The sequence below is a fragment of the Homo sapiens genome, chromosome 11, assembly GCF_000001405.40.
Source record: "Homo sapiens chromosome 11, GRCh38.p14 Primary Assembly".
In the NCBI taxonomy this organism is placed as follows: Eukaryota; Metazoa; Chordata; class Mammalia; order Primates; family Hominidae; genus Homo; species Homo sapiens.
In genome coordinates, this window is record NC_000011.10 from 107,005,457 (window position 1) to 107,029,513 (window position 24,057).

A 24,057-nucleotide genomic window follows, 5' to 3' on the forward strand; every position below is an offset into this window, starting at 1 on the left:
AGAGACAAGATCTCACTATGTTGCCCAAGCTGGTCTCAAACTCCCGGGCTCAAGCGATCCTCCCATCTCAACCTCCCAAAGTGCTGAGATTACAGGCGTGATTTTACATTTTTAAATACAAAAATGACAATGTAAAATGTTTTTTCTGAGAGCCCCTACTTCATTCATGTGTTTAAAGTATATGGAATATATGCTGAATAAATTAGTAAGTGCTCATTTGATAATAAATGCTGTCTGAATTAATGAATGAATGTGAGAGGTAACTGAATGAGTGAATAAACAAGAACCTGGTAAGATCGCATTTGTTTTTAAGATTTCTGAAAGAGAACATCTTTTATAAGTATATTACCCCTACAGTATAACCCTGAAATGTCATATGCCCAAAAATGTTGGAAATATTTCCCATAAAAAGCATAAGAGCACTAAACACGAACCATGACAAAAGGTATTATCTAGAGACTTTGCCAAAGATTGTGGCTAGAGGTAATTGAAAGTATCAGGATAACTGGTAAGAAGGTGTTAGCTAAAGGCACCAAAATCTATTGATCGTATGCTATAGTCCAAATACTGTGCTAGGCATTACTATACTTTTAATCTTCATAATCCTATGAATTGTAAACCTCATTTTATACAGAACAAACTGATCCTCAGAGAGGCGAATTTATCCAGTGATGCCCAAGATAACAAGAAGAGTTTGCCAGACTGCAAATCTCCTCTTTTCCCAGAATGCAGAGAGTTAAAGAACCTGAAGGAATATTTTGTTTTACAAGAAAGAAGTGAAGCAGAACAAGGAAGTCATGAGTAATAGTAAACACAATGTCTTCCATTCACTGTTCACATTTTATTACATATTTACTCTTGAGTGAGAGATTAGTGAGATAGATGTGATTTCAGAGATGGGAAGTGGAGACAAAAGTTATTTCCCCAAAGTCAAATTAGAACAAAAATCAGAATGCAGCATCTATTGAGTTGCAGGATCAGCCTCCAACCATTCTGTGCATGTATATATACAAATGGGCTGATAGGCATTTTTCAAGGAAAACAAGACAAGCACATTCACCAAATTATACAGAAGTCTAAAAGATAGGAAAACGGTTTGTTAAAATCTACTCACAATATCTTTCCCTTGCCTAAGAGACTCCCTGGTGGAATATGAGAAATGGTATGCACATTAACTTGGTCAGACCACAAGTACCATTTACTTCCTCAGTGCTTCTACATAGAGCAAGTTTGCTATTATCAAGCACTTGATTATCTAAAACACTGCCCACACCAGGATGTTCACACAATCTACAGCAGAGTGATAGTTAATACTCATAAGGACAACACTGAGGCACTGAAACACACAGGTGAACCTTTGGGATTATGAAGGACTGACTAACAAATTTAAAATCCTTTCACTCTTAAGTGCATTTCATAGAATTTCATCTGCTCTCTTACAAATCAGTACTGCATATGTGATAGCTCACTTAGAATGTTTGATTCACCAGAACGAATTTCTACCTTTTTAAGAAGGAAAATATCCACTGCACTCTCCAACACAACCTGAAATGTTTTGGTGGTCACTGCTACTCTAAAACCCGTAGACTGTCTTATATTCAAGGAGTGATGTATCAAGTCTGAGCCAAGAAAACCGTACAGTATACCAACTACTCATTGGAACCATAAAAAAAAATGCATGAATGATGTAGCTAAATATCCTTGGGCTTTTCAAGGATTAGTCCTAACTTTGAAAGCATGATGTAAATACTAATCAAGCAATTAATTAGAACTGAGTTTCTCAAAGACTAACTAGTTACCAGGTTACCTGATTCTGGTTTAGAAGAGGGGTAAACAAATCAGCTACTCCGAGAGAGTGAAATGAATAGTGAAAGAATGCTCTAGATATATTCTAAATAGTCTTAATTTCAGATCGGTGTTCAAACAGAAAGGCTAGAAATGTCTTTGGATTATTGCAGCTTTCCCCGTTTGGACATTCACTCATTATTCCTGAAGACATAACCCTCCACTCCAGCGGATTGTCCCCAAACACCTCAAGCTCAATCTGACATATAGGCCTTCTAATGCATAAACAATACTATCATTGCTTTATACCTCTGCATGTCATACTCATCTTCCCAATTTGATCTACATACTCATTATCTCCAACCTCAAGTGGGCCCTCAAAAAACACCCAATAACACTTCTTCCTATTCCTAGGCAGTTCTCTTCCCCAATCTTTAAACAAGCAATTTCTAACTCTACACTTTTTTCAAGGACACTATCCCTCCCTGTGCCACTATTGTGTCCACTAATGATTATTGTAAGATAGATATATGGATATGCTGGTTTGTAGAATTGTATTTAATAGAATGTTTGGTAATACAGGATTTCTTACATACTAAAATAATAATGAACAACACAGCATGATAGATTTACTGTCCCTCTAGCTTACAGATACACATTTCTTTAGGAGATAATATAGACACCCTTGTAAGTGGCAGCACATCAGCAACCCCAAATAACTGTTGTGTCTACAGGCATTTTAAGATAATCATACTATCCGGCCTGGTGCGGTGGCTCACGCCTGTAATCCCAGTACTTTGGGAGGCCAAGGCAGGCAGATCACCTGGGGTCAGGAGTTCGACACCAGGCCCAGCCAATATGGCGAAACCCCTAATAAACATACAAAAATTAGCCAGGCATGGTGGCATGCGCCTGTAATTCCAACTACCCAGGAGGCTGAGGCAGGAGAATCGCTGGAACCCGGTGGGCAGAGGCTGTGGTGAGCCAAGATTGTGCCACTGTACTCCAGCTTGGGCGACAGAGCAAGACTCCATCTCAAAAAAAAAAAAAAAAAAAAAGATAATCATACTACCCAAAGTGAGAGGCAATTTGCATAAAACCTACAGATTATTATGAAGTCCCAATAAAATGTCAGGTAGGAGAATGTTTAGAAAATCTTAACGCATTCTAAAAAATAATGTTATAACTATATTCCCGTTTATGTCTGAGAAAAAGCTGCAAACAGAACAGTCAGATAAAATAATCAATTAAAAATCACAAAATCATTATAGCCAAAAGAGCAGTACCAAATACATCATAAACTACACAAGGACTTATTCAATCATTTATTCATTCTTTTAACAAACATTTATTGAGTGCCTTTATAATTCAGATACTCTGCTAGGCATGCGCATACATAGATAAATAAGACAGGATTTCCATCTCAAAGAGGCAGAATAAACCAAAATCAAGGTACAATACAATAAGTCCCATAATGGAGATGTGAGTGATAAGTTAGGATTCCATAGGGGAAAAAATGGAGTGACAGAAATCACGATATATATACACGTGTGCGTGTGTACATAAAAACAGTCAGAAAAACCATCCTCTCCCAGTATTAAGTTGGAGGGTTCATGTATGAAGAAGCATAGACATAAAGCAACAAGGAATGGAAGGATGTTTTAGAACATTCTGATTTTTGCCATTGGCCACAGTAGACTCACGCATAACAAATATTATACAGTGAAAGGAAAATGAGTCAAGTGGACTTTATGGACTTACAATTAAGGTAACATCAGGACCTCCACACAGATAACTTCCTTTCATGATAGATTATTAGAGTTGTCTGCAAATACAAATTCTTCAAATGTTGGATCACCATTTATTTACTTGGAGAACTAAATGAGAGACCCCCACCCAACTTCACCACTGAATGAACGGCTAAGGATGCAGAGATTAGGAAGCATTAATGTTAGTGTCATATTTTGGTAAGGTTTGAGAGGTGGCCCTATATATCTGATATCTGAACCTCCTATTGTTTTCTTTCTAGAAAAAAAAAATTCTGGCATTCAGATCTGTTTTTTCTCCCTTTACCTTTTTAATTTTTCATTGGCATGTAAACAAATCACTCCTCCAAAATGAACCAGTAGATGGAGCATTTGAGAAATGTTGTGTCAATCTCACTCTGAAAAACACAAATGCTGGTGATAATGTCAAATTCACCCTCACAACCACCCTTCTTTTTTTCTACAATCCCCAACCTTTTCAAATATCTGTTTCTCTGTTTTGGAAAAAGGGGTCACAAGATACTTATAGTAATGACATGCGAACTACTGAACATAAACATAAGCAGTTAACAAAACATCCTCGGGAAAAACGGGCAGAGTCCACAGATAATTAAAGCTACAAATGGTGAAACCTCAAATACCTTCTACCATACAACCAGTAAGATTATTTCGACCACAAAAGATACAGCCATAGGATGTGGGGATAACAGCACCAATTCACCACCTTTATCCCTAACCCAGTAAAGGTAATAGTTGTCTGGGATACATTAATCCCAAAGGAAGCGACTTTCAGGATCATTCTTCCCAAAAATCAGCCCATAGAGCTCACTGCTCAGTAGTCCTCAAGGTCTGGAATTCAGTCACCTCTAGACATACCTTCAGCATGCTGAGCAATTACCTGGAGTTTTGTTCAAAATGTAGTTTGGGCCCCTCCCTGGAACTATCCAACCAGATCCTCTGAGGATGAGACCCAGGAATCTGCATTCTAACAATTTTCCTCAGGTATGTCTTGTGTTCAATGAAGCTTGAGAGCTACTAGATTAAATGAAGAACTGTTTAATAAGCCTCAAATAAAGCCTGCTCTGGAAGTGATTTCTCACTATTTATAAGAATGTTTACTCTTTCTCATTTCCCTACAACAGCCCCAGCAAATTTCCCGCCTTCCAAGATATTTCCCACTGCCCTACCTCCTAAATGACTCTAGCCCTCAATGTTATGAGGTACTCTGAGCTAACAGCACATAATTCTAGATCTTCAGATCCTGTCCTGAAGTGATGTTTAAGGGCCATAATTATGTCATTTCCATCTCCTAGTAGTGCATTTTTGGCAACAGTAGCCTACTTGTTGACAAACATTTCTTCTCATTTGACAGAGAATTGGGCAGAAAATATAAGCAATCCAGACTGTAGAAGAGTCATTACATTTACCTAACTTCTTAAAATATTATATAAATGGACGACTCAAAGAGTCCAAGGAGGAGGATACTGTTCCATCTGCTCTTTTTGTAAAACGACTTCCTTCCGAAGTTTTGCTTTAAATAGCAGGTGTAAGCAAAATTCAAACAGGTTCGCATACTTGAATATGTCTATCACAGGCTGGATGAAAAATCTAAATATTTTGGTTGATGGAACTAAATATACCACCAAAAAAAAATTAAACACAAAAGAAACATTAATAAAATTGAACAATTAAACAAAAACATGTATTTACTTCTCCTGAGCACTTTTTTTTTACTTTTTTTGAGATGGAGTATTCCTCTGTCACCCAGGCTGGAGTGCAGTGGCATGATCTCGGCTCACTGCAACCTCCCCCTCCCACTTTCAGGCTATTCTCCTGCCTCAGCCTCCCAAGTAGCGGGATTACAGGCGCCCACCACCACGCCTGGCTAATTTTTGTATTTTTGGTAGAGACAGGGTTTCACCATGTTGGCCAGGCTCGTCTTGAACTCCTGACCTCAGGCAATCCATCTGCCTCAGCCTCCCAAAGTGCTGGGATTACAGGCGTCAACCACTGCGCCTGGCCCTCCTAAGCATTTTATTGAACAACCATACTATGCTAAACACAAGTTAAACATAAGAATATCAAGGACAGAGGCTTTAAATGTTAAATTAACCCACTGCCTCATGCATCGAACAAAGGGCCTGTGAAGAAAGCCTGCTCAATAGATAGCCCTTGCAAATATTCTCCCGGCCTATGTGCCTACATGTGTGTGAAATCTCAAAAAAGAAAATTATACCTTCCTAGTAACTCATGATCAACAATGTATGTGTCAAATGACAGTGCATTTATTTTCCTATCATATTCAATAAAATATTTATGTTTTATTTTACTTAGAGCTCTGTATAATTAACGGCAACAGGACAAAAAGGTGAACAAAAAGACTAATGATGACATAGATGGGAAAAATATATAATAGCACTCAAGTACTTCACCTATGCATCTTAGAGTCCTTAAAGGTAAATAAACTATACACTAAAAAGGAATATATAATCAGGACTATATAATATATATAAAATATATTTTTAATATATTAAATATATAAATATATTTATAATATATACACATATATATTTATAATATATAAATATATATCTTTAATATATATAAAAAGGAGTATATAATATATAATACTATAATATATAGTCAGAGTGTCTGACTTCTACTTACAAACCTAATAATCACTGATGTCATTTCTCATTGACAAAATGTAACTTTAAAGTGAAAGTTCTACTCTTCAGAAGGCTGAGGCAGGAGCAAGACCCTATTTCAAAAAAAAAAAGAAAAAGAAAAAGACAAAAGAAAGCCTAGCAATTGAACCAATAGCCAAACAAGAAGGCAGCACCATAAAATATAAACAGCATTAGCTATGTAATTGTTGCATCTCACTATCAAGGCCTTTGAACACACATACAGATTAGTTTGAATGCAGTAGATGAAGAATGCTTGGAATTCTTAGGCAACTGAAATAAATAACTTCTCTTTCACCTACAATTTTTCTAATTTAAAATTAACTTGTCATGAAATATCTACATTCTACCAAATATATATGTCCTTGTATTTTTATAGAATTTATAAAGTAGTTTTCATATTGCCACACAGCAGTCAGTAATCTGATGGAAATGTTTGGATCTGCAATTTTTATATGTCTGTGTACACACATGAGTCATACCCAGGGGCCAAAAAGGGACTCCAGTTTTAATTTTTTTAATGGATTGTCTGGGCTATGCCGACAAAATACAGTGCTTCTTATTACTTTTTTTTTTTTTTTCGTACTTGACATCTGTTAACCTATTCTATAAACTTTTCCAATTAGGTGACTAGCAAGTGAATTATTGAGAAAAAAAGAAAATGAAAAATTTAGATCACTTTGAGGCATTCAAATTCAGTTAAAATTAATAGATCTCACCCTGAAACTATCATCTATTGAGTTTAGGAAGCTTTAAGAAGAATATTCCTCCTTATACACAACAAACCTACAAGGTAGTTGTTATTCCTAATTCACAAAAGAGGAAACTAAGGCTCAGAGAAGATAAGAGTTAGCTTTCCCAGGGACTCATACTTAGTAAGGGGCTCAGCAGAGGATTACTCAAACCGAAATTTGTCAGACTCCAAAACTTTGTGCTTTCAACTCTGTCATGTTGTTTCTAAATGATTGGGGATAAGGTAAAGAAAGGCAATAGATTGCCATTAAATTCTGATTTCAGATTATAGTATCTATTTTCAACAAATGTGAAAACATTAAACAACTGAAATATACTTTATATAATTTTATAATGGTAATGAATCTGTTTCTATAACTTTGTTAGCCAAATTAAGCCCCAAATTTAAAAAGCTTTAATTAAACTACCTAAATTTGTCCAATAGCCTACCTTACGAATATATTTTTTACATTTTTCATTGTCTACATGTTAGTTACACACATACTTTCTAAGGTTTTTTTTCAAGGTTTATACATGTCAGAGAGCTCATTTTATTTAATATCAACAGAAGCTAAAGTATTTTATGCCTTTTCATTCTTTCCTTGACATGTATTAAGATAATTTCCTTCCCCAAAATAATAATTTATGCTTTTTTGTCACTTGAATCTAAGCTTCCACCTTCATTTTTTCCTCTTCACTAGTCTCTGTTTCTTGAACAACTCCACAGGTCAGTAGCTCTCCTCTCCTTATTTGCCACTCCTCCAATTCTGTTACTTTTTTTTCCTGACATTCTGCTCTCTAAAGCTTCTGAGGTCTTCAAAGCCACTTGCAATGTTCTCTGTCAAGAAACCTAGAGAAGCCTTGCCCTTATATGACTCTAGTGGTGTATCTTCACTGACAGGCTGACACCAGCAAACCCAAAATTGATGTCGCAGTGATAGGGTAACTAAGCAACTCTCATTTAAGAATAAAATCCAAATAAATAAGTCGCTAAGTTCACCCTTGATGTGAAATCCCCAGCTGTTGCTTAATATGTATTCCCAACTATTATATTATTTTAAAATAAAGAATGTAATAAATGATTTATACATCTTCAATCAGGTCTTAAGGTCTTGAGGGTTTTTGTTTGTTTTGTTTTGGAGACAGAGTCTCGCTGTCACCCAGGGTCTGGAGTGCAGTGGTGTGATCTCAGCTCATCACAACTTCCGCCTCCCGGGTTCAAGCGATTCTCGAGCCTCAGCCTCCCAAGTAGCTGGGATTACAGGCGTGCATCATCATGACCTGCTAATTGGAGGGTTATTTTTATTATTATGGCTGCACCCCAGAGATTCACAATGAACAAAACTACCCAAAGTGAATGACAAATAAAACTTCCCCTAGATTTCGCCAAGACAATTGGAGTTCTTATGTTTTCCCTTTATATAGTTTCATTAAAATAAAGATAATGATTAAAGAAGTTCCATGAAATCAAAGACTAGATATGTTTTGTTCAGCATTTGTCTTTCCAAATGCTCTGCACAATACCTGCCACATAGATACTACAATATTTTTTAAATAATTGGGTGGATTAAATAGCATTTTGGTGCCCCTATCTTAAAAAGTAAACTACTTTCCTCAAAAGTTTTAAAACTTATAATATATGCCATGTTTTCCTTTTTTTTTTTTTTTTTTTTTTTTTTTTGAGACGGAGTCTCGCTCTGTCGCCAGGCTGGAATGCAGTGGCGCAATCTCGGCTCACTACAACCTCTGCCTCCCGGGTTCAAGCAATTCTCCTGCCTCAGCCTTTCAAGTAGCTGGGACTACAGGTGCACGCCACCATGCCCAGCTAATTTTTGTATTTTTAGTAGAGACGGGGTTTCACCATGTTGACCAGGATGGTCTCAATCTCTTGACCTAGTGATCTGCCTGCCTCGGCCTCCCAAAGTGCTGGGATTACAGGCATGAGCCACCACGCCTGGCCCATGTTTCCCTTTCATATGCCAATATGACAGTTTGTCCAAAGCCTGGGAAATCCCAGATATTTAAAGTAATGTGTCCAGAGATATGTAAGTTTCTCATTGTTCAAGGCAAAATTAGAATCAGGTCTCCCGAATTCTGGAATTTTTTTTCAATTTCACCAATACAACTTACTCTTATTAAATAGTATTAGAAATTATTATAACCTTTATACTCAACATCGGTGCATCTTAAAGTGACTATTAAGCATCAAAAACCTGAGTGTGGATATCCCATGGGTCAAATAACTAGTTTAATAAATAAATTTTCATTTTTCTATTTGCAAATCATTCTGAATAAAGAAGAAATCCCAAGTGACTGAGACATGCCACGATGAGACAACTGACAAAACAGGAGCTTCCATGGCAAGTACAGTTTCTCCTGAAGTATATTGTGATGGCATGCAAGAAAGCTCACAACATTCAAAACAACTAGAAATTCCCATCTAAAAAGGCTCTGGTAATGGCTACTCTCAGTGGTTCAAAAACAAAAAAATGTCCAGCTTTCATGAGAGAATAGAGAGGACATAATCCATCTCCTGAAGAGTATTCAAAGAAGTTTCAAATCCTGACAATGTCAAAAAATGAATCTACTGGAACTTTTTGAGCTAGTGTTCTAACTTGCCAAATAAAATAAGGTAAGGACTGCCCAGAAATGAGTCACTGCTTTGAAATATAATCTCTCTCTTTTATTTGTGTCACTAAGTCTATTGATGATATGGTTAACCAAGGAGAATTTTTCTATACATGTGTTATGTTGAAAATGTTTACAGTATATTCACCTGTATGTTCTCAGCGTCCACCTGACAGACCCTTTTCATAATAGAAAACAACTATGGCATGGAAAGTATATAGAGCTGTTGCATTTATTTGATCATCACAATTATTTTTAAATTGCTTATTCTGAAAACCATTCTCTGGATACATTCTTTTCATCCAGCAAAAAGCCAGTCATTCAAATTTAACTTATAAAAGTAACCATCAGAGACTATTTCCTTCCTCTTATTCTAGCAGAAAATACTGCATTTCTCAGTTTCTTTTATCTACTCCTCATGTAAGTTGTTGAAAATAGTCTTAGCTTAAATTAGCATTATCAGAGGCATTGACATTACTTTTTAGAAATCTGTAAATTCTCTTAGGCAAAAAAAAAAAAAAAAAAAAAAAAAAAAAAAAAAAAACCTCCAAGGTTATATCAACAATTCTCCCCAAACTAATCATTATCTTTAGCAAAATCATTTCATTAAATAAGAATCTGTTGTACTAAATAACTATTTTATTGCACAAATGTTGCTTTAAGTACTGACACAAGCCTACAGACGCTCGGGGTCATTGGACTCCTGTTGTAAATAAATATTTTCAACAATTTGCAACATCAAATAGTTTATAAAATTACGCTGCCTGGGAAATATTGGCAGGGAAGAACAGCAAAGAGTAGCCAATCTATTCTGAGGATTGTTTTCTAGGTTAATGATGAAAGAAAAAGTGGCAGAAAGATATATCAAATACGAAAATACACAAGAATAGGAAGATGACTGTTTCTCAATATGTGTTCCTAAGAATTAAATTAGTTCAAAATAAATAATGTAATAAGTGATTTATACATCTTCAATCAGGTCTCGTAAAAGAAAAAAATCATTCTCCATTAATACAAGTGCCACAAGAATATTTGTAGACCTGTCTGGTACCCGTACTCAGTCCCCTCAGGGTTCCACTCCTTCTTAGGTCCCCCCTACCATCATTTGCAGTAGTAATCTCAAAAGAGAGACTCAACAGTAATCAAACAAGATCAGTGTTCAGATTCATTTCGGAAACTTTAAAAAAGTAAAAGTCCTAGGGGTGGGCAGGTGAAAGTGCTGTCAGGAGGAGCTAAAGCTCTTGTATCCAAGGTCAGGGTGAGCATAAAAGATGGGTGGAGGTTTGACGCTGAATCTTTTTCAAATTCTGTCTGCAACAGAGTGGATTTCTTTAAAACAGAGCTCTCCCAGACACGGTAAGATTGGATCAGAGGTCTGGCATTCCTGCAAGAGGTAAAAGCCAAGGGTAGCTGAAATGCCTGGGCAGGAATAAGGCAGTACTCCTCTGGAAGGATGCCTACAACCAGGGGGAGTTTGTTGTACACCTGAAACTGCTGATACAGACATCCCAAGATGACCACAAGTTTGGAGAGGCATTTATTCATTCCACAAATATTTAGGAAGGGCCTAATATAAAGAAGCCACCAAAAAATGAGAGAGAAAGCACTAGAGAATCAATTGAAGAGAGAGTAAAGGATGAGGTGCAGGTGCAAGAAGTACAGAGCGGTTTAAATAGCTAATGTGAGAGAGAAAGCACTAGAGAATCCATTGAGGAGAGAGTAAAGGATGAGGTACAGGTGCAAGAAGTACAGAGAGGTTTAAATAGCTAATGTGAGAGAGAAAGCACTAGAGAATCCATTGAGGAGAGAGTAAAGGATGAGGTACAGGTGCAAGAAGTACAGAGCGGTTTAAATAGCTAATGCATGCGAAGCTTAATACCTAGGTGATGAGTTAGTAGGTGCAGCAAACCACCATGGCACACGTTTGGTACCTATGTAACAAATCTGCACATCCTGCACATGTAACCCGGGACTTTAAATTAAATTTAATTTAAAAAAAAAGAAATCCAGACACCAGGTTTACCCAGAGAAGAATAAATGCCTAGTGGATAAGAAAGAAAAAGAAAAAAAGCTACGGGGTGAGGACAACTCGAGATTAGAGATTACTTGAACAGAAGGCAACTCAGAAAAGTATCTGGCAAAAAGTATCTGAAGATGTGAGAAAAAGGATGCAACATAGAATGCAGATAGCCTGTGGAATTCAAAGATGTCAGAGAAGGTCACGCTAAGACCAAGAGAGTGTGGGAAATAAGGAGAGGAAGGGTTTCCTGGAAGGGGTTGGGGCTCCTTTGGGATGCTGGAGAACAGGATGAAAGACAGGGAAGCTGAACTGCAGAACACAGTGCCTGGGAAAGTTTAGGGGAAAGAAAACAGGTGGGTGTGAAGCAGCACTGGGGCTGTCCAGGGGGAACAGTGGTGAAGTAGGGTTCAAGGCTAGAGGTGGGCAGACAGGCCCCCGAATCAGGATACCCCAAAGGAGTGGAATCTTATTCCTTCCCAGTGCTGTAGTCCCCTCTTCCGCCCTAGCCTAGGGGATCCTCTGTCGCCGGAGCCACTGGAACCCTAGGCCGTGCAGGGTAAGGCCGGGCCGCCCCCCAGCGGTCGGGCTCTGCGCTCGCGCCCCGGCTCGCCCAGCGCCAACTTTACAGATCCGCGTTCTCTCCCCCGAAGGCGGTCCCCCCTTCCGCCCCCCGCTCACCGAGGGCGCCGTCAGGCGGCTGATGCTCTCGCCCAGCGAGTCCAGGTTGACCCGCCTCCGGCGCTGCACCCTCCTGGCCCCGGCAGTGGCAGCGGCGGCGGCGGCAGAAGCAGCCGGGGTCGGGGCCGGGGCGGCGGCAGCGGCAGCTGCGGCCGGGCTGGGCTCCAGCGGCCCGGGCGGGCTCCGGCTGCCATTCCAGCAGAGCCTAGACAGGGGGCACTCCCCCTCCTCCTCCGGGCTGGTCTCCAGGTAGTCGGAGCCCAGGGAGCTGAAGGACTCGGACGAAATCTTCCTTCGAGACATGCTGCCGGCGGAGCTGCAGCGGCCGAGGCGGTGGCGGCGAGGACGCGAGCGGCGGCGGAGGCGGCGGTGGCGGGACCGGCAAGCGACAACGTTAAGCGCGTCGGGGCCGCGGGGCGCTGCGGTCGCGCCCGGCGGGGCGGGAGTCCCCGGGGCCGCGGAGCCCCCCGAGCCGGCTGCTCATGGCGGGAACTTGGGGCGCCGCCGCACCTTGGGGCCCGGGCTCGGCGGCGGCGCCGGGCTGGGCTGGGGGCCGCCGCCGCCTCTGCTGCTGCTCGCGCGGCGCCGCCTCAGCGCCCGCCTCGGCGCATCGCCGTGCGCCGCGCTCCCGCTCACGGGGAGGCTCCGAGAGTGTGTGACCGCGGTCGGCGGGGCGGGGAGGGCTGCGGCCCAAGCAGAAGGGGAGGCAGAGGCAGAGGCTTCTGCCGCCTGCGCGCCTATCTCGCCCCCTTTCCCTCTCTGCTCCCGCCTCTCTCCACTTGCTGCCCTGCCTCCCTCCTTCTCCCTTTATCCCCCCGCCCCCCCCCATGCTCTCCCTCCGCGGGAATCACGTGTCGCCATCATACTCATTGGGAGTCTCTGCCTCGCCTGTCGCCACGTTTCAGGAGCAACGAGGACACTTCGTTGCTGTCCTCTGCGCGCCCTCCCTGCTCCGAGGAGGTGCGCACAGGAGCTCGGGTCGGACTGAGGGCCCCAACCCCAAACGCCTTATCCTCGGCCCTCGGGAGCAGATGGGTCCCGGCGGCGCTGGTGGGGAGAAGGGCTCGGGGCTGGGGGGCGAGAGGCCTCCCCCTGGAGCCACCTTGGGGAAACCTGACAGTGTGAAGTGGGGGTTAGGGTCCATGTTGTCCTTTCTCCGAGTTTATTTAGGAAGTTCCGAGGCAAAAGGGAAAGGCCAAGCGTCCAGCCAGCCCACTCCAGAGGAGACGCTTTCAGGGGAAGGGAAGGACAGGGGCAACATTTTGGCGCCCATCCTGCTGGAGCAGCTCCTGGGGACTTGTGTTCCCCGCCTCGTGCGAGGCCGTGTGGGCGCGGAGCGAGCCCAGAAAGGGGCGGCAGTGAGGACAGCGTCTGCTCTGACAAGACAGCACTGTTGCTGAGCCTCAGCCGGGCGGGGTGCGCGGGGCTCCCGGCTCCGCTGGCTCCTCACTAGTGCTGGACAGCTCCGCTTGCCACCTATAGCCGCCTTTGCAGGCGTTGAGAACTGGAGAACAGTTCCTCCTCAAACGACCTAGCACCTGGCCCGGGGGAAACCGGGGAATGATCCCACGTCCCTCATCCTCAGGGCTCTTTGCGCCAAATATGCGATCTGTTTGCACCTGACTGCAAATGCTGCTCAGAAAGCTAAGGGGAGTAGGGATAAATGCTTCTCGAACTGACTCGCCACAGCGCGAGCATGTCTTGCCGCGAGTTTTCAGCTGTGCGGCTTCATTCCAAAGCTTATCTCTTTGCAAACCAGTCCTTCCAGCGCCTGACCCCACTGCCCCTTGCCTTAGCCCCAGAAAACTCTCATACTGGTTCTGAGGATAGAGTAAGAGATGGGAAGAAGGGGCAAATGACAGTATCCCGAAAGGGGTTCCAGGCTGTACTTCCCCCTGCAATGAAGTGGATGAGCACCCTCCCCAGCTCACCCGATCTGCGGAGAGAAAAGTTTAGGGGCTCTGGCTTTAGTTTCCCAGTGAAACCGAAGCCAAAGCGTTTTTTTAATTAAAGAACTGGTCCTTCCAGGTGAAGGCAGATGGGTTTTTGTGGACTGTGTTTATTTAAAAAGCAAAACAAAACCAAACCACAAAACCTGTGCTGTACCCCCACCACAATTTGCTTTTAACTTCAAATCTTCCCAAGTGTTTGTTAGGGCTTAAATATAAATGCTATTTGAGGTTTCATTTGGAAAAATCCACTCAAACTGGTTCAGAGACATACCTTTTTCCCCAGATCTTAAATGGGCTTTAAAGATAGAAAAGTGTGTACTATCACTCAGACACTCCCCCTTCAAATTATATATATATATATATATATATATATATGTGTGTGTATATATATGTATATGTATATACATATACATATGAGAAAGAATATATATAATATATATTCTTATATATATGTATTCTTTCTCATCCTGAGGAAGTTTCTTTTAAAATAATAATTGTTACAATTATTATTTAAACTGTTGTGCATCTACTATTGATTTCCCCATTACTTCAATTAATTCTATGTGCATTTGTGTCCATTGAAAATTAGACTCAAATTACACTTTTAATCATAAAAAATCATCAGTTTTGCTAAAAAAGTTTCACTAGCCCCTTTTTCTAAATTATAATGAAAATTACATTATTCTAACTTTGGGGTAATTGTTTAATATTTCTGCTACACAGTATCAATCAGCATAAAGGATTGGAGTTCCTAGTTCTCTTCTTTGGTACTGATTATATAATAGTCAAGTTCTTTCGAATTATAGGATTTTAGTTAGTATTAAATATACTAAATAGCATGTGTCCTTCACATTCTTTCAATAAACTGCTGCGCACACAAATAAATATTATGGTAACGGCAAATAAACTTCATATTGAACTTAGAATTGGAACTTTTTATTAACCATTCCAACTCTTGTCTCAAAGTCAAAATTATTGAGTGCAAGGCAATGAGTATCATTTGTTTCTAAAATTTGTAAGAGGCCCAAGAGCCTTCCTGTTTACACTGGAAGTTTATTGCCAGAAAGAACTCTGAACCTATGGGACATTTTTTCTTTGTGTGAACCATTTGAATCAAAGACTCTTTACAGAATCTAGCCAGATGAAGTCGTCTTACAATTTTCTCTATGAATTACACCCTGCCTTTGATCATTATTTTCCCATGGATTTTTAAACTATAAACAAATCAAGGCCTAGATATAGCCAGTACAACATCTGCTTTGCTTTCAAGGGTTTCCTTTGTATTTCTGTTCAGGAGCGGGGTTCAAAAGCTCTCAATATGAAGAGTGCTGTGTTTATACTAGAATTGACATTTTTAAAATGAAGCATAGCTATTCTCCATTAAAAAAAAAGAAGAAGAAGAAGGCTTACAGTTAGCAAAAGCAATCTAAATACTTTAGGAAGAGTAGTCTGCTGAGAATGAATAGTCTGTGCTCTGATTTTAGGAAAAGAAGCTTGCCCAAGCTCATACCCACAAATCCAGCCCTGCTGGATATATTGTATTTCAATAAAGTATTTAAAGGCCACTCTCCAACTGGAAAAGAAAAATGCAGAAATATTCTTGGTTTATTTGTGAAGTTGGCGTAGGCACCTGACAACTCAGATTGATCAAGCATTGGGAAAGACTTCCTAAAAAAACAGATTCTTCACTTTAGTCAAGACGATGACTATTTTACATTGAAACATAAAGTAACTATTGTTTGTGCGTGCCTTCCCTTCACATAAATCAATCCTATTTATAAACCCTTTCACTTATATAGCCTCATTTAACCTGATTTTCATCCTTCTCAGAGAAGTTGTTGAAGAAAAGTCACGTGTGTCAAATTCAAATCAAAACCACAATCAGTCCTCCTTCCCAAAATTCTTTGCGTTTCCCAGGTTCAAACTCTTTACTAGTTTCTTTTCATCTAACACTCCAGCAAGAAAATCTGCAAGATTTGCATAAGCGTTCCCTGGAGCAGAGCTCTATCCTGATAGAAGACTGAAGAATTTCTCCCTGTCATTCTTTACATAAATCTGGCAATTCACAGGAATTGTACATGTAATATTAAAGCAAGTTTTCTAAAGAAATATAGTAGCTGGTGAATCCTTAACTAGGGCAAGTTTTTCTGGATCCCTAACCTGGAAAATCACACACACATACACACACACACACTTCACACTGTTCACCTGCTAGTTTAACCCTATGTTTGTGTTCGTGAATGAGATCTGTCTACTCTCTCACACTTAACATACCCCCTCTTTTACAAGAGGGCAAATGTGCTTTCTCTGAGAAATACTGGCAGCAAATAAGAGATACTGTACTTCATATTGTTGCACAATTTTGTAAGTAAAACTAAATATTAAGGAGGGCAAATGTGCTTTCTCTGAGAAAGACTGGCAGCAAATAAGAGATACTGTACTTCATATTGTTGCACAATTTTGTAAGTAAAACTAAATATTAAGGATAATATCAAAGTGAGAAGAACCATCTGCTGTGTTCACATATAAAGGGACACATAGAAGACAATGTAATCCATTGTCCTATAGTTATATTTTATCATAAAACCATCCCAAAGGGGTAGGATTCTTGCTGCTCAAAAAAGGATAGAGGAGGAGAAGGCTGGGGGAAAGGAGGAAAGAAAGAAAGACAAGCAACAAAGTCAATGCTACACTTAGTAGAATTTGTGACCCAGAAAGATACTTAAGGGTGTAATAACTGACTTTTTTTTGATGCATCAAATCCATGACAGCAAGAAAGAGGCAGGTGATCAGTGTATGTTGGTGCCTCTGGCAGACACTACTCTCTCCTTAAGTGGCTTTACATTCAACCATGCACCACAGGAATCCATCCTCCTCTTAAGAAGAGACCCTATTAGTCAACAGTTTGAATACTAATATCAGCACCACAGTCTCCTACAACTCTCAGCCTTTTTGTCTGCATACTCAACAATCCCAGGTCTCTATACACTTTATTTAAATTGGGATTCTTAATCCCAACATAATAGGACATATTTTTCCAATTATAAAGTTATGGAAATTCTGGCACAGAGATTTAAAATATCTTCCAATGTCATGGAGCTGATAAATATTAAAGTCAGAATTCCAATCCTGACTACTAAGCCCATGCTATTTCCACTGAAACACTTTTCCTGCCTGTCTCTTGTCCTCAAATGTCCTAAAAACAGATTTTAAAATATGCTGAATTAAAATCACAATGTGAGTGGGTTATTGCATTAAAATAAATATTAAATACACAATTAACTTGTATGAATTATGTCCTGGAACATAATGTGGAAAAGCACTGACATGTGCAGAAGTTCTACAGTTCTCTGCTGATAACTAGCTCTGTGACCAAAATCAAGTTGTTAACTGCTCTGGGACTCAAACCCTTCACCTCTAAATCAAAAGTGTTGGATAAAATCCTTAGGTTATCATCAATCCTCAAAATTCTGTAATTTTTCTATTTGTTGAACTGTTCATTTCCTTTCCAGATATATCTTGTGCCTAAAAAATGTACCCACATACATCATCATAAGGTTAGATTCTCTTTTTCTTCCCTGTCATATCCTTTCTGAGAATTCAATTCTTATACAGATCCCTCCTTAAACCACCCAAGATCCTCTCCTGATACAAAACTGCCATGAACATGGTCCATGGAATTAAATGGATAAAAAAAAATTTTTCAACTGAATCCTATTTGGTTAGATGCTCACTATCTCTCTGTCTTTTCATAACCTAATTCTTCTGTCTGCTTTATTGTATTATATAAAGGAATTATATCTTCCTGTCTGCAGCTTATTAAGCTTGACAGCTAACAATAATAAGTATGAATTATCAATAAGAATGCCTCAATATAACTTTGTTAATGTTAATAGACACTTACTTAAATATGTCCAATTTATAGTAAATATGCAGTCTGTTATTTAATCATTATTTTAAATAATAAATCTTTTAAAATCCAATTTTAATATGATGACTAGAATTCTTAGAAGTATTAACATTAAGTATGAAGTGTGCTTTTGTCACTAGATAAGAAAACATTAGAAAAATGTTACTAATAATGATTAAGCGGAAATGTAATGGATCCCTTAAGATAATCCATAGGTACAATTTTCTGTTTAAAAACTTGAGAAACAAATGACAGTGGATACCCAATGTTATGATCATTTCTGGAAAACTTTTCAAGTTGGACATTGAAATGAGGTCCTCAGTTATGAATAGATTAGTTCATGCCTAAAAACCCATGTTAATCTTAAAATAATTCTAAAACATTTCTCCACCAAAAGTAGTGAAACTTTTAGAATAAAACTTACGTTTACTCACTTCCGGCAGTTCTCCTTATAGTAAGTAAAACGAGCATTAATTCTTTTTGTATACAAAAATGAACAGCCATCTGTACCACGACTGTGAACTAAAATCAAATGTTCCATTTCTCTGTTTCACATGGGGTCTCATTAGCACCACAGAAGCAGAGTAATCCTTGTTTCCAGATAAGCAATATGTATTCACAATCATCCCAAAGTGAGCCTGTTTCAGTCCTCTCCTTCAGGACCCCCCAGGTGACTGTGTTTCCCTCCACAGCATGCAGACATAAGCTGGAATCATCTCTGCTCAATCTCCAAAAAATTCTTTGGACATCTATCTCAGAGAAGAAAATTCCCAGATTTTCTTGGTTTTCAGGTTTTCTCGGTAATATTTAATAGCACCCTAGGCCAAAAGAAATACCTAACAATTCAATTTAAAATGTAGGCCAGGCACAGTGTCTCACGCCTGTAATCCCAGCACTTTGGGAGGCTGAGACGGGCAGATCACCTGAGGTCAGAAGTTCAAGACCAGCCTGGCCAACATGGTGAAACCCCATCCCTACTAAAAATACAAAAATTAGTGGGGCATGGTTGTGGGCACCTGTTAACCCAGCTACTTAGGGAGCTGAGGCAGGAGAATCACTTGAACCCAGGAGGCAGAGGTTGCAGTGAGCTGAGATTGTGCCACTGCACTCCAGCCAGGGTGACAGAGAGAGACTCTGTCTCAAAAACAGAAAATAAAAATAAAATGTAGCCTGGTCCAAACCATTTAATAATTATTTATATCGTAACAACTTAGCAGCATTTGAAAATGTAATAATGTAAAGTGAAAGAAAAATAATATCTTTATTTCATTATTAACTAACTATAATTATTTAATTATTTTAGCTAATAAACTTGAACACTGCACAACTTTTCAAACCTTGGGATCATATTGGACATTGTCATCCTCATATTTTATTCCACACTGATTTTCCCATGGTTATTGCTCATAATCATAGCAGCCTCCAAAACCCACCTTCACAAATGCATGAAGTGATTAAAATAAGGTAATACAATCCAATGCTAAAACTATAAGCTACCTCAAGCTAATAGTCTGTTTGGTGCTCAACTGACATTAAGCATCACTGCGTTCCTCTCAAAATGTTAAAATATACCTCAGCAGCCATGTGCATCCACTGCACCACCCTAGGACCTGTTGGTACATAGTTTGGAAACCAGGACTCTGGTTGCTCAGCTTCCAAAGTTCTCAGAAAAGCTTGTCTTTTATCTTGATTACAGACTCTGAGTAAATAGGCAATAAGATCTTACAAATATAAAATGAAAATGATGTATTTTAAGTCATTTTTGCTGCAATAATTTTGTATACATAGTGTTGCCTATGCATTTGTGGTTTATAAATAGTGCATTATTCTATATTTAAACATTTTATAGTTTTAACTGATTGTCTATAAACTGAGCTTTAAATACATAATAAGAAACAAAAGAATTTGCAAAGACAAATTATTTGCTTTTGATATTTATTAAACATACAATTTTTTTTTACCAACGGCTATACATGTGATAGATGAGCAGAATATTATCTCATGAAGTATTATTTTTGAAAAGACTTCATACATGTAATTATATACATATATTTCTAAAATTATATATTTTTTAAATACAGACCCTGAAATCTTGGTAACCACTCTTTGTTTGGAAAGAACAGGGAAGTCAAAGGTAGGGCTCATTATTTCCTATAACTTCTATTATCAAGCAAGGGAAAGAAGGCAATTTATTGTATGTTGCTGATAGAGAAACAAAAGCATGCAAAGATTGAGGAAACTGTCCATGGTCCTATGGCACATAGCTAATCACAGGTAAGCTCTTAGCTCTGCAAAATCTCATTTTATAGCTCTAGGGTAGAATGCTGTCTCTAAGAAAGACTATTGCTTGAGGAAAAAAAAATAAATCTGGCTCATTATTTGCAGAGAATTTTATTTCAGTCCTTTTCTCAGGGAGTAATAATAGGTTTGCATTAGTCCAGTTACACATAGCCATCATGGCTAAGTTAACTCATCCATTCATCTCAACACATATTTGAGTAACTGAACGTTTAATATTAAGCCAAACGCAATAAGCATTATAAAGATAATATATGGTTCCTACTTTTGAGAAACTTACACTGTAGTAAGCATAAGGAAAAGTTAAATAACATGAAAAGTTAAATGGCCATAGAAAATAGTACTAGTTAAGATGTCATATGGAAAATAAGTAATATAATATTCTAGGAGAAAAAGAAATATAAACTCTAAATATTTGCTTATGAAGGAAATGGGGCTTGAACTAGTCTTTGAAGAATGGGTAAAATTTTAATAGATGGAAATGAATTAATTGGGCATGGAGAAGAGAAAGAGTATGTTTTGTTTGAAAATGCTATGTATCACATCCAAACTGGATAAAAGAATGCATACTGAGAAATGGCAAGAAATAGAATAAGAAGATAAAGACCAGATTGGGAAAGGTTGACTGAACTTTCTCTGACAGGCATTGAAAAAAAATAATTTTAACTTTTTGACCTGGGAAATGATACAAATAGAGTTTTGTATAAGCCAATAAAAGCTACTCAGTCATCTATGAAGTTCATAATTCCCAAGAACATAAACCAGCAGGGCAGACTGCCTCAATGTCCAGGAAACCAGTTGCAAACCATTACTGAGGTATGTGCAGCCTGAGTGACAGACTGAGACACTGTCTCTAAAAAAACAGAAACAAAAAACAAAGTTTCTTTATGCTCTTCCCCCTTCACATATACACACACATTTTTATATTAGTCAAACTTGAAGCACACCTGCTATAAATTATTTGCTTATTGTATTGTCCAAGAATATAATTCCAGTCAATAAAGTATATCACCTCCTTATCTCCATTTACTATTTGTCGAAATTGGCTAATTTTCCAAGCATATCAGTCTTTAATAGACCAGCAGGATGAAAAGTTAACCTTTACAGAAACCATTTTTAAAAAATAAAAAAGGTTTAAAATTCCCCCAAAACCTAATAAATGCCACTTCTGTGTTAGGGTCAGTGATGAACAGACCCAAAATTTCTTAATTTGGTGTCCCAATATAATAACTTAGTGGATTCAGTGAAGAGGATTTTAAACCAGATTGATCAATAATAATTCCACCTTGACTCATACCAAATATAGTGTGCTCTTATGTTCAATCTAATACATTTCTTTTTTCTATCAGAGAAAAAGGTTTTCAGCTTGCTACCTTTGTTTTCAACTACTGGAAAGAGAATGTTCATCCCTACAAACTGAAAAGACTAGCTCTCAGGAATTTATTGTCAATTAGTGAATCAGGGTAAACATACACAATGAACACTTGCAGCTAGGTTCAGAATGTATTAGAGGCAGGGAAGAGAATGGAGAAAGACAGATGTATGTGTGAATATTGAGATTTGTCAAGATGACTGCAGAATATCTGAAGAAGGGAGGTGGATATCATGTGCTCAGCTGTAAATACAATTCTAGAACAAAGATTGGCCAACAGGAGTTTGAAATCACTAGACTGGAATGAAACCAAAGCAATGACTAGATGTATTTGCTAGAGGCACATAATATAAAGAAGAGCAGCTTAGGAGATAACATTTGATTAATAAATTAATGAGCATTTTAACAAGTGGATTATTTGCGAAGAGAGCACAACTGAAAGTGCTTACTACTGTATTTGAGAAAACAAATGAAAAATGAAGAAGAGTCATTCCCAGCCATCCCATATACACTGTTCATTTTATAAGGCAGTAGCCACCATTTGTAGCTTTGTTTAAAAGTGCCTCAAAAAGAGGTCCAAATGATTTGAGTGTAAATCCAAATGTCCCATCCAAATATCATAATTAATTACTTCAAAACTGTCTTTTAATGAGATAACTAAACATTAAAACCACTGAAGGGAAATGCTTGTCTTGCTCTCTATCAGTAATTCTTCTCATTGCTTCTTCATTTTTCTTAGTTTACATGGTGCTTGTATTTTCAGGAGGTTATGTAATGAACCATAATAAAATTAATTGTCTCCAGGCTGATGAGGTCATAGATTTTCAGTGTCGTTGAGTCCCAATTATTTTAGCAGAATTTCTTCCTCAGTTGTTCGCTATTTGGTGCCCTATTTCAAAAATGAGCACTTTTCCTTTTTGCTGTTTGCTGTTTGCTTTTTGTTGGTAGTTTTCCATTAGAAAAAAAAAAGTGCCTTATTCTTATTATATAAAATGACATAATTTCTGTGCAATCTATCCAGATTGAAAAATAAGTCACTGTAATCACTAATAAATAGTTTCAATTTATAAAATAGATTATAATATTCTTCACACATCTGGGAATTAAGTAAACATGAGCACTGGCAAAACTAGATTGTCACTCAAATTCACTGGAGTATAGCACTAATAACAGGAGCAGCTGATACGAGATTGGAGCAAGGTCCAGCATTCTCAAACAAAGCTATACATTTTTTAACAAAGAATAACAATCTTTTTTCCAGGGTATTGGTCCTCTGTTACTGTGACACAAAATAGATATATTCCTGTTGGGTAAATTGACAATTTGGAATTTGTCATTGGTGCTTTCCTGCTTGAATGAATATGTATACAAACAGAAATAGATTTCCCTTCTATTACTAGTTATTTATAAGAAATTTAAATTGTATAAAGGCATTTTACATTTTCTCTTCATTATACCTTCAGCTTACTTATATTGAACAAGGCAAAAATAGAAAAATGCTTTCATAGGGACAATAAAAGCATTCTTCTATTAAACATTAATATCATGATTTCATATTATTTTATGTAAGGCAATTTCTTATCAAGACAGGAATCCATATTACAGGTAGAATTCATTTTCTTTCTTCAGCATGGTAATTGCCTCCACTATGATTATTATCTAAAGACTTAGAGGTAATATCTTCATGCAGAAAATACAAAGACTGTTTCTAATCTTGTTGAGAAAATGATAAAAATGAATATGCACACATTTCTTCATTCAAGAGCATTTATTGAGTAATATTTTGTGCCAGGAACTGTGCTAGACATTGTGAAGAGAGAAGAGTATAAAACACAATCTTTCTCTTCAAGTATCCAGCAATAGAGTAAAACACACATACATATACACAAGCAGCAGAAACAGACACACAAACTGATATTTTTTAGACTGCTAGGTTTAATAGTGGAAATACACACAGGATATAGAGGAGCACTTAATACTAACTTAGGGAAAAGGGAGTTTAAATACCTTCTTAGTGATTATGTCTGAGCTGAGTTTTAAAGAACAGGTAGGATTTTAAAGATGGGGAAGTTAAGGGAAGGGAAGTCTAGGCAAAGATTAGCCAGAGTAAAAGCACAAGATTGAGAAAAACAGGTATGCACCAAGAAATACAAGGATGTCAGGGCTGCTAAGAGTATTGAATTAAAGCAGGATATGGCTCAGAAGAATATGGTAATAAGAAGTACACAG

At 38.4% G+C, this 24,057-nt stretch overlaps 1 protein-coding gene across 2 annotated transcripts in view, besides 1 other annotated feature; it reads right to left on the reverse strand.

Moving 5' to 3' along the window:
* GUCY1A2 (guanylate cyclase 1 soluble subunit alpha 2) overlaps positions 1–13,020 on the reverse strand; it is a 344,458-nt gene extending 331,438 nt beyond the window's left edge. For both annotated transcript variants that reach the window (NM_000855.3, NM_001256424.2), the window contains exon 1: positions 12,297–13,020. In NM_000855.3, the coding sequence (NP_000846.1) occupies positions 12,297–12,599 (303 nt within the window). In that variant the 5' untranslated portion in view covers positions 12,600–13,020. The remainder of the gene's footprint in view (positions 1–12,296) is intronic.
* Positions 12,414–12,543: a silencer, noted in NCBI's record as "silent region_3869". NCBI's record gives its function as "represses an Ori minimal core promoter by ATAC-STARR-seq in GM12878 lymphoblastoid cells {active_cell/tissue: GM12878}" and the evidence as "EXISTENCE:reporter gene assay evidence [ECO:0000049][PMID:35858748]".
* Positions 13,021–24,057: the final 11,037 nt, after the last annotated feature.